The sequence below is a fragment of the Homo sapiens genome, chromosome 7 (genome assembly GCF_000001405.40).
Source record: "Homo sapiens chromosome 7, GRCh38.p14 Primary Assembly".
Taxonomy (NCBI): domain Eukaryota; kingdom Metazoa; phylum Chordata; class Mammalia; order Primates; family Hominidae; genus Homo; species Homo sapiens.
The window spans coordinates 50,893,681-50,904,807 of record NC_000007.14 but is presented as its reverse complement, the minus strand read 5'-3'; the positions used below and the strand labels follow the sequence as shown (position 1 = coordinate 50,904,807).

Here is an 11,127-nt window from a genome sequence, read left to right as displayed (position 1 = left end):
GTATACATGTGCCATGCTGGTGCACTGCACCCACTAACTCGTCATCTAGCATTAGGTATATCTCCCAATGCTATCCCTCCCCCCTCCCCCCACCCCACCACAGTCCCCAGAGTGTGATATTCCCCTTCCTGTGTCCATGTGATCTCATTGTTCAATTCCCACCTATGAGTGAGAATATGTGGTGTTTGGTTTTTTGCTCTTGCGATAGTTTACTGAGAATGATGATTTCCAATTTCATCCATGTCCCTACAAAGGACACGAACTCATCATTTTTTATGGCTGCATAGTACTCCATGGTGTATATGTGCCACGTTTTCTTAATCCAGTCTATCATTGTTGCACATTTGGGTTGGTTCCAAGTCTTTGCTATTGTGAATAATGCCACAATAAACATACGTGTGCATGTGTCTTTATAGCAGCATGATTTATAGTCTTTTGGGTATATACCCAGTAATGGGATGGCTGGGTCAAATGGTATTTCTAGTTCTAGATCTCTGAGGAATCGCCACACTGACTTCCACAATGGTTGAACTAGTTTACAGTCCCACCAACAGTGTAAAAGTGTTCCTATTTCTCCACATCCTCTCCAGCACCTGTTGTTTCCTGACTTTTTAATAATTGCCATTCTAACTGGTGTGAGATGGTATCTCATAGTGTTTTTGATTTGCATTTCTCTGATGGCCAGTGATGATGAGCATTTTTTCATGTGTTTTTTGGCTGCATAAATGTCTTCTTTTGAGAGGTGTCTGTACATGTCCTTCGCCCACTTTTTGATGGGGTTGTTTGTTTTTTTCTTGTAAATTTGTTTGAGTTCATTGTAGATTCTGGATATTAGCCCTTTGTTAGATGAGTAGGTTGCGAAAATTTTCTCCCATTTTGTAGGTTGCCTGTTCACTCTGATGGTAGTTTCTTTTGCTGTGCAGAAGCTCTTTAGTTTAATTAGATCCCATTTGTCAATTTTGTCTTTTGTTGCCATTGCTTTTGGTGTTTTGGACATGAAGTCCTTGCCCATGCCTATGTCCTGAATGGTAATGCCTAGGTTTTCTTGTAGGGTTTTTATGGTTTTAGGTCTAACGTTTAAATCTTTAATCCATCTTGAATTGATTTTTGTATAAGGTGTAAGGAAGGGATCCAGTTTCAGCTTTCTATATATGGCTAGCCAGTTTTCCCAGCACCATTTATTAAATAGGGAATCCTTTCCCCATTGCTTGTTTTTCTCAGGTTTGTCAAAGATCAGATAGTTGTAGATATGCGGCGTTATTTCTGAGGGCTCTGTTCTGTTCCATTGATCTATATCTCTGTTTTGGTACCAGTACCATGCTGTTTTGGTTACTGTAGCCTTGTAGTATAGTTTGAAGTCAGGTAGCGTGATGCCTCCAGCTTTGTTCTTTTGGCTTAGGATTGACTTGGCGATGCGGGCTCTTTTTTTGTTCCTTATGAACTTTAAAGTAGTTTTTTCCAATTCTGTGAAGAAAGTCATTGGTAGCTTGATGGGGATGGCATTGAATCTGTAAATTACCTTGGGCAGTATGGCCATTTTCAAGATATTGATTCTTCCTACCCATGAGCATGGAATGTTCTTCCATTTGTTTGTATCCTCTTTTATTTCATTGAGCAGTGGTTTGTAGTTCTCCTTGAAGAGGTCCTTCACATCCCTTGTAAGTTGGATTCCTAGGTATTTTATTCTCTTTGAAGCAATCGTGAATGGGAGTTCACTCATGATTTGGCTCTCTGTTTGTCTGTTGTTGGTGTATAAGAATGCTTGTGATTTTTGTACATTGATTTTTTATCCTGAGACTTTGCTGAAGTTCCTTATCAGCTGAAGGAGATTTTGGGCTGAGACAATGGGGTTTTCTAGATATACAATCATGTCGTCTGCAAACAGGGACAATTTGACTTCCTCTTTTCCTAATTGAATACCCTTTATTTCCTTCTCCTGCCTAATTGCCCTGGCCAGAACTTCCAACACTATGTTGAATAGGAGTGGTGAGAGATGGCATCCCTGTCTTGTGCCAGTTTTCAAAGGGAATGCTTCCAGTTTTTGCCCATTCAGTATGATATTGGCTGTGGGTTTGTCATAGATAGCTCTTATTATTTTGAAATACGTCCCATCAATACCTAATTTATTGAGAGTTTTTAGCATGAAGGGTTGTTGAATTTTGTCAAAGGCCTTTTCTGCATCTATTGAGATAATCATGTGGTTTTTGTCTTTGGCTCTGTTTATATGCTGGATTACATTTATTGATTTGCGTATATTGAACCAGCCTTGCATCCCAGGGATGAAGCCCACTTGATCATGGTGGATAAGCTTTTTGATGTGCTCCTGGATTCGTTTTGCCAGTATTTTATTGAGGATTTTTGCATCAATGTTCATCAAGGATATCGGTCTAAAATTCTCTTTTTTGGTTGTGTCTCTGCCCAGCTTTGGTATCAGAATGATGCTGGCCTCATAAAATGAGTTAGGGAGGATTCCCTCTTTTTCTATTGATTGGAATAGTTTCAGAAGGAATGGTACCAGTTCCTCCTTTTACCTCTGGTAGAATTCAGCTGTGAATCCATCTGGTCCTGGACTCTTTTTGGTTGGTAAACTATTGATTATTGCCACAATTTCAGCTCCTGTTATTGGTCTATTCAGAGATTCAACTTCTTCCTGGTTTAGTCTTGGGAGAGTGTATGTGTTGAGGAATTTATCCATTTCTTCTAGATTTTCTAGTTTATTTGCATAGAGGTGTTTGTAGTATTCTCTGATGGTAGTTTGTATTTCTGTGGGATCGGTGGTGATATCACCTTTATCATTTTTTATTGTGTCTATTTGATTCTTCTCTCTTTTTTTCTTTATTAGTCTTGCTAGCGGTCTATCAATTTTGTTGATCCTTTCAAAAAAACCAGCTCCTGGATTCATTGATTTTTTGAAGGGTTTTTTGTGTCTCTATTTCCTTCAGTTCTGCTCTGATTTTAGTTATTTCTTGCCTTCTGCTAGCTTTTGAATGTGTTTGCTCTTGCTTTTCTAGTTCTTTTAATTGTGATGTTAGGGTGTCAATTTTGGATCTTTCCTGCTTTCTCTTGTGGGCATTTAGTGCTATAAATTTCCCTCTACACACTGCTTTGAATGCGTCCGAGAGATTCTGGTATGTTGTGTCTTTGTTCTCGTTGGTTTCAAAGAACATCTTTATTTCTGCCTTCATTTCGTTATGTACCCAGTAGTCATTCAGGAGCAGGTTGTTCAGTTTCCATGTAGTTGAGCGGCTTTGAGTGAGATTCTTAATCCTGAGTTCTAGTTTGATTGCACTGTGGTCTGAGAGATAGTTTGTTATAATTTCTGTTCTTTTACATTTGCTGAGGAGAGCTTTACTTCCAGGTATGTGGTCAATTTTGGAATAGGTGTGGTGTGGTGCTGAAAAAAATGTATATTCTGTAGATTTGGGGTGGAGAGTTCTGTAGATGTCTATTAGGTCCACTTGGTGCAGAGCTGAGTTCAATTCCTGGGTATCCTTGTTGACTTTCTGTCTCATTGATCTGTCTAATGTTGACAGTGGGGTGTTAAAGTCTCCCATTATTAATGTGTGGGAGTCTAAGTCTCTTTGTAGGTCACTCAGGACTTGCTTTATGAATCTGGGTGCTCCTGTATTGGGTTCATATATATTTAGGATAGTTAGCTCTTCTTGTTGAATTGATCCCTTTACCATTATGTAATGGCCTTCTTTGTCTCTTTTGATCTTTGTTGGTTAAAGTCTGTTTTATCAGAGACTAGGATTGCAACCCCTGCCTTTTTTTGTTTTCCATTTGCTTGGTAGATCTTCCTCCATCCTTTTATTTTGAGCCTATGTCTGTCTCTGCACGTGAGATGGGTTTCCTGAATACAGCACACTGATGGATCTTGACTCTTTATCCAATTTGCCAGTCTGTGTCTTTTAATTGGAGAATTTAGTCCATTTACATTTAAAGTTAATATTGTTATGTGTGAATTTGATCCTGTCATTATGATGTTAGCTGGTGATTTTGCTCGTTAGTTGATGCAGTTTCTTCCTAGTCTCGATGGTCTTTACATTTTGGCATGATTTTGCAGCAGCTGGTACCGGTTGTTCCTTTCCATGCTTAGCACTTCCTTCAGGAGCTCTTTTAGGGCAGGCCTGGTGGTGACAAAATCTCTCAGCATTTGCTTGTCTGTGAAGTATTTTATTTCTCCTTCACTTATGAAGCTTAGTTTGGCTGGATATGCAATTCTGGGTTGCAAATTCTTTTCTTTAAGAATGTTGAATATTGGCCCCCACTCTCTTCTGGCTTGTAGGGTTTCTGCCAAGAGATCCGCTGTTAGTCTGATGGGCTTCCCTTTGAGGGTAACCCGACCTTTCTCTCTGGCTGCCCTTAACATTTTTTCCTTCATTTCAACTTTGGTGAATCTGACAATTATGAGTCTTGGAGTTACTCTTCTCGAAGAGTATCTTTGTGGCGTTCTCTGTATTTCCTGAATCTGAACGTTGGCCTGCCTTGCTAGATTGGGGAAGTTCTCCTGGATAATATCCTGCAGAGTGTTTTCCAACTTGGTTCCATTCTCCCCATCACTTTCAGGTACACCAATCAGACGTAGATTTGGTCTTTTCACATAGTCCCATATTTCTTGGAGGCTTTGCTCATTCCTTTTTATTCTTTTTTCTCTAAACTTCCCTTCTCGCTTGATTTCATTCATTTCATCTTCCATTGCTGATACCCTTTCTTCCAGTTGATCGCATCGGCTCCTGAGGCTTCTGCATTCTTCACATAGTTCTCGAGCCTTGGTTTTCAGCTCCATCAGCTCCTTTAAGCACTTCTCTGTATTGGTTATTCTAGTTATACATTCTTCGAAATTTTTTTCAAAGTTTTCAACTTCTTTGCCTTTGGCTTGAATGTCCTCCCGTAGCTCAGAGTAATTTGATCGTCTGAAGCCTTCTTCTCTCAGCACGTCAAAGTCATTCTCCATCCAGCTTTGTTCCGTTGCTGGTGAGGAACTGCGTTCCTTTGGAGGAGGAGAGGCGCTCTGCATTTTAGAGTTTCCAGTTTTTCTGTTCTGTTTTTTCCCCATCTTTGTGGTTTTATCTACTTTTGGTCTTTGATGATGGTGATGTACAGATGGGTTTTCGGTGTGGATGTCCTTTCTGTTTGTTAGTTTTCCTTCTAACAGACAGGACCCTCAGCTGCAGGTCTGTTGGAATACCCTGCAGTGTGAGGTGTCAGTGTGCCCCTGCTGGGGGGTGCCTCCCAGTTAGGCTGCTCGGGGGTCAGGGGTCAGGGACGCACTTGAGGAGGCAGTCTGCCGGTTCTCAGATCTCCAGCTGCGTGCTGGGAGAACCACTGCTCTCTTCAAAGCTGTCAGACAGGGACACTTAAGTCTGCAGAGGTTACTGCTGTCTTTTCGTTTGTCTGTGCCCTGCCCCCAGAGGTGGAGCCTACAGAGGCAGGCAGGCCTCCTTGAGCTGTGGTGGGCTCCACCCAGTTCAAGCTTCCTGGCTGCTTTGTTTACCTAAGCAAGCCTGGGCAATGGCGGGCGCCCCTCCCCCAGCCTCGCTGCCGCCTTAAAGTTTGATCTCAGACTGCTGTGCTAGCAATCAGCGAGATTCCGTGGGCGTAGGACCCTCCGAGCCAGGTGTGGGATATAATCTTGTGGTTCACCGTTTTTTAAGCCGGTCTGAAAAGCGCAATATTCGGGTTGGAGTGACCCGATTTTCCAGGTGCGTCCGTCACCTCTTTCTTTGACTCGGAAAGGGAACTCCCTGGCCCCTTGCGCTTCCCAAGTGAGGCAATGCCTCGCCCTGCTTCGGCTTGCGCACGGTGCGCGCACCCACTGGCCTGCGCCCACTGTCTGGCACTCCCTAGTGAGATGAACCCGGTACCTCAGATGGAAAGGCAGAAATCACCCGTCTTCTGCGTCGCTCACACTGGGAGCTGTAGACTGGAGCTGTTCCTATTCGGCCATCTTGGCTCCTCCCCCCATTTGTGATTTCTTTCAGCAGCATTTTGTAGTTCTTGCAGAGATGTTTCACATCCTTGGTAAGATATATTCCTAGCTATTTTTTTTTGTGGTTACTGTAAATGGGATTGCATTCCTGTTTGTCACTCAGCTTGAATGCAATTGGTGTGTAGAAATGCTGCTGAAGGGCTAGGTGCAGCGGCTCATGCCTGTAATCTCAATACTTTGGGAGGCCAAGGTGGGAGGATTGCTTGAGGCCAGGAGTTTGAGACCAGCCTGGGCAACGTAGTGAAACCCCATCTCTAAAAAAATTTTTTTAAATTGGCCAGTTAGCAGGAATTTCTGACGTTAAAAAAAATTAGCCAAGCAAAGTGGTGCATCCCTTAGTCCCAGCTACTCAGGAGGGTGAGGTGGGAGGATCGCTTGAGCCCACAAGGTCAAGGCTGAAGTGAGCTGTGATCACACCACTACACTCCAGCCTGGGCAACAAAGTGAGACTCTGTCTCAAAAAAAATTTTTTTACGGATTTTTTACATTGATTTTGTATCCTGAACTTTACTGAAGTTATTTATCAATTTCAAGAGGCTTCTGGCAGAGCCTTTTGGGTTTTCTAGGCATAGAATCATATAATTAGCAAAGAGAGACAATTTGACTTCTTTTCCTTTTATTTCTTTCTGTTGCCTGATTTCTCTGGCTAGGACTTACAGAACTATGTTGAACAGGCGTGATGAGAGTGAGCATCCTCGTCTCGTTCCAGTTCTTAAGGAGAATGTTTCCATCCTTTGCCCATTCAGTATGATGATGGCTCCTATTATTTTGAAGTATGTTCCTTCAGTGCCTAGTTTGTTGAGGGTGTTTATGATTTTATGAAAAGTACTTTCTGTGTCTATTGAGAAAATCAGGTGGTTTTTGTTTTTAATTCTGTTTATGTGGCGAATCACATTCATTGATTTTGTATGTTGAACCAACCCTTGCATCACAGGAATGAAGCCTACTTGACTGTAGGTGAATTAACCTTTTTTATGTCCTGCTGGATTCAGTTTGCTAGTATTTTAGAGAGGATTTTTGTGTCTATGTTCATCAGATACTGGCCTGTAGTTTTCTTTTTTCATTGTGTCTTTGCCAGGTTTTGTTATCTGGGTGATGCTGGCTTCATAGAATGAGTTAGAGAGGAGTGCTTCCTCCTCAATTTTTTTGAATAGTTTCAGTAGGCTTGGTACCACCTCTTCTTTGTACATCTGATAGAATTAAGTTGTGAATTCATCTGATCTGGGGCTTTTTGTTGTCGTTGTTGGTAGGTTTTTTAAATTATTGATTCAATTTCAGAACTCAATATTAGTCTGTTTACGGTTTCTTATCTTCCTGATTCAGTCTTGGGAGGTTGTGTGTTTCCAGGAATTTATCCACTTCCTCTAGATTTTCTAGTTTATGTGCATAGAGATGTTCATAATCACCTCTGGGGATCTTTTGTATTTCTGTAGGATCAGTTGTAATGTTACCTTTGTCATTTCTGATAGCACTTATTTGGATCTTCTCCTTTTTTCTGTTAACCTAGCTAGTAGTCTACAGATCTTGTTTATCCTTTCAAATAATGCAATTTTGATTTCCTTGACCTTTTGTGTGGATTTGTGGGTCTCAATTTTGTTCAATCCTGCTCTGACTTCCTCTAGGATGTGATGTTAGCTTGTTAATTTGAGATCATTCAAACTTTCTGACATAGATGCTTACAGCTACAAACTTTACTTTTAACACTGCTTTTGCTGTGTCCCAGAGATTTTGGTACATTATGTCTCTGTTTTCATTTATTTCAAATATTTTTTTAATTTCTGCCTTAATTTCATTGTTTACCCAAAAGTCATTTAGGAGCAAGTTGTTTAGTTTCCATGTAATTGTGTGGTTTTGAGACACTTTCTTGGTATTGATTTCTATTTTTCTTTCACTGAGGTCTGTGAGCATGGTTGGCGTTTTGATTGTTTTGAATTTATTGAGACTTGCTTTATGGCCAAGCATGTGGTCCATCTTAGAGTATGTTCCATGTGCAAATGAAAAGAATGTGTATTATGTGGTTGTTGGGTGGAGTATTCTGTAGGTGTCTATTAGGTCCAATTGGTAAAGTGTCAAACTTAAGTCCAGAATATCTTTGTTAGTTTTCTGTCTTGTTGATCTAACTCAGTCAGTGGAGTGTTGAAGTCTCCCACTATTATTGTATGGCTAAGTCTTTTTTGCAGGTCTAGAGGTACTTGTTTTAGGAATCGAGGTGCTCTGATGTTGGGTGCACAAATGTTTACAATTGTTTTCTTGTTTAATTGAGCCCTTTATCATTATGTAATGCCCTCCTTTGTCTTGATGTTGGTTTAAAGTCTGTTCTATCAGATATAATCGCGACCCCTGCTCTTTTTTGTTTACCATTTGTGTGATAGATCTTTCTCCATCTCCTTACTTTGAGCCTATGTGTATTATTATGAGATTGGATTCTTGAAGACAGAAGATGGTTGAGTCTTGGTTTTTTGTTTTTAATGCACTTGGAAAGGCAAAACTTTAGTAACAGAAAGCAGATTAGTTGTTTCCTGAGGCTAAGAGTCTGGAAAGGAATTGACTACAAACGGACATAAGGAAATTTTCCTGGGTATTAGAAATGTTCAATATCTTGATTGTTGCCATGGTTATAAAACTGTTTACAACTGGCAAATTTTATCAAACTATACACTTACAATAAGTGATGCAAATTATGCCTAAGTAAACTGGGAAAAAGCAAGCAGTGAAAAAAAAGGTAGATATTTAAATATTCAAGATTCTTAGAAACAAAGAATATAGACATTAAAAATACAATAAATCAAAAAATAGAATAAATTCCAAAGTGGAGGCCAAAAGAGAATTAGAGAGCTGGAAGCTAGCAATGAAAAATTTACCCGGAACTTGTACTAGGGAAATAGAGACTTTATTTTACTTAAGGAACAGTTAAGGGATAAAAAGCATAGATTTAAAGGGAACAATATATTTTTTAGGAATTTCACTAAAAGCAAGTAAAGAGAATAACAGGAACTAAATATTTCATAAGATAATCACCAAGAACGGTTTAGAATTGTAGAAATACCTGATCGCTCAGACAATTTACACTGAATTCGAATAAGGGTAAATAAAAACAAAACCTCAGCCGCACATGGCTATGAAATGGCAAAACGTCAATAATAAAGAGAACATCTTCCAGCTAACACATAAAAAAGATAGATTAACACAAAAGAATAACAAATTAGTAGCAGACTTCTAATCAGCAATAATAGAATATTATCTTCAAATTGCCAAGGAAAACTAATTGTCAACTTCTAACTTTGAACATGATCATTCTTCAAATGAAAGTGCAAACTAAAGACATTGTCTGATTTAAAAGACTAAAAGTGTTTACCACCTACAGCTTACCAAAGAACAAATTAAGAACACTCTTCTCTTCAGCAGCAAAATGAAACCCAGAGGAAAAGACTGAGCTAAGGAAACACTGGTGAGCACAGAAACAGATCATTAAATTTAATTAGCCATTGACTGTGAAAAATTACTGCTTTGTGGTTTAAAATATTAAAATAAAAGTTACCATAAGAAATGAGGGTGGGAACCTCTCCCGTTCTAGAGGAAGATAAAACTAGCACTCAGAATAATGTTAGACTCTGCTGGAAAAATTTATACTGAAACATGACACCAAATATAATGGTGATCATTAAAACAAATTTTATCAAGTGAAAAATCAAAAATGACCAAGCCATATAAATATATGAGATTTTGGTGCTATATCTCCATCTCATTTAGGGGTCTGTGTACTCCACAGACTTAACTCCATCTACCCCAGGAAAATGTCATTTTTAACATGATATTTTTCCCTGGTTCCCAAATTACCACCTAAACTAATTGAAGCCTTTGAAATTTAGCTATAAACCTGGAAGATGAGATTCATTTATAATATATCTGCAGTTTGAATTTAGGTGTTGATGTTATTACATTAGAGCTACAAGTGTAACTGCCTTTTAGCTACTCACTCACCCAACTCTGGCAGAATTACTTTAAAAATTATTTTTGCTATTTTTGTTGTTGTTGTTATGTCTCTTTAGTTTTTCAGTTTCTTAATTTTTTATGACATATCACACATATAGAAGAGGGGACAGATAATAAAATTTTCAATTCAGTTATCACAAAGTGAACCTAATTATGTAAACACCACTCAGGTCAAGAAATAGAACATCACCAGAACTCAAGAAACCCTCTTGTGGCTCCTCCTTCCTCCCAAAAGCTTGCAAATACTCTTATTGCTGTAGTTTAATTTTGCCTGTTACATGGGGTGTGTGTGTGTGTGTGTGTGTGTGCGTGTGTGCAGTTTTATACTATATATTCTATGTCTGGCTTTGTTCACTTCACATTTTTGTGAGATTTGTCCATATTGCCATGTGTTTGTTTTTATTGCTATATAGTACTATATGGAGTGCCTATCGCATAAAATATCCAATCTTCTGTTGAACAATTATACATTTCTTGCTAAATATGTTAATGCATTTCTATAGGGTATTTGATTAGAAGTGGGATTTGGGAGTTTTCAAGTACACGTAGTTCAGCTTTAGTAGATAATACCAGCTTTACCAATAGTCACTCCCACCAACAATGTCTAAGAGTTCCTGTTGCTCCTCATTGTCACCAAGACTTGGGTTTGCCAGGATTTTAAATTTGGGTCATGTTAGTGGATGTAGAGTGACTTCTCATAGGGCTTTTAATTTGCATTTCTTGCGTTACTAATAAGATTATGTTCTTCTTCATATATGTATTGGTCACTTGAGCATCCTCCTTTATGAAGTGCCTCAAAGTCTCTTATGCATTTTTCTATTACATTATTTTTGTTTTTCTTATTGATGTGAAAGATTTCTTTATACATTCTAGATATAAACCCCTTTGTCAATTATACACACTGTAAATCTCTTCTTCCACCCTGTGTTATCTTGATGCTATCTTTCAATCATTTTGGACTTTTAAAAAATGTTTTCATTTGCAATAATTTCACATTTACAGCCAAGTTGCACTAGTACAAAGAATTCTCATATGCCCCATATCTAGATTCTCCAAGTGTTGATATTTTACCATATTTGCTCTACTATTTTCCATCTTTTCTGAACCACTTGAGTATATATTTAGTTAACGTCTAAATACTT

General features: G+C 38.9%; 2 annotated features.

Moving 5' to 3' along the window:
• Positions 4,801-5,593: an enhancer, noted in NCBI's record as "NANOG-H3K27ac-H3K4me1 hESC enhancer chr7:50966912-50967704 (GRCh37/hg19 assembly coordinates)". NCBI's record gives its function as "activates a minimal SCP1, AML or CMV promoter by ChIP-STARR-seq in primed H9 embryonic stem cells {active_cell/tissue: H9 hESC(primed)}" and the evidence as "EXISTENCE:reporter gene assay evidence [ECO:0000049][PMID:30033119]".
• Positions 5,594-6,387: an enhancer, noted in NCBI's record as "NANOG-H3K27ac-H3K4me1 hESC enhancer chr7:50966118-50966911 (GRCh37/hg19 assembly coordinates)". NCBI's record gives its function as "activates a minimal SCP1, AML or CMV promoter by ChIP-STARR-seq in primed H9 embryonic stem cells {active_cell/tissue: H9 hESC(primed)}" and the evidence as "EXISTENCE:reporter gene assay evidence [ECO:0000049][PMID:30033119]".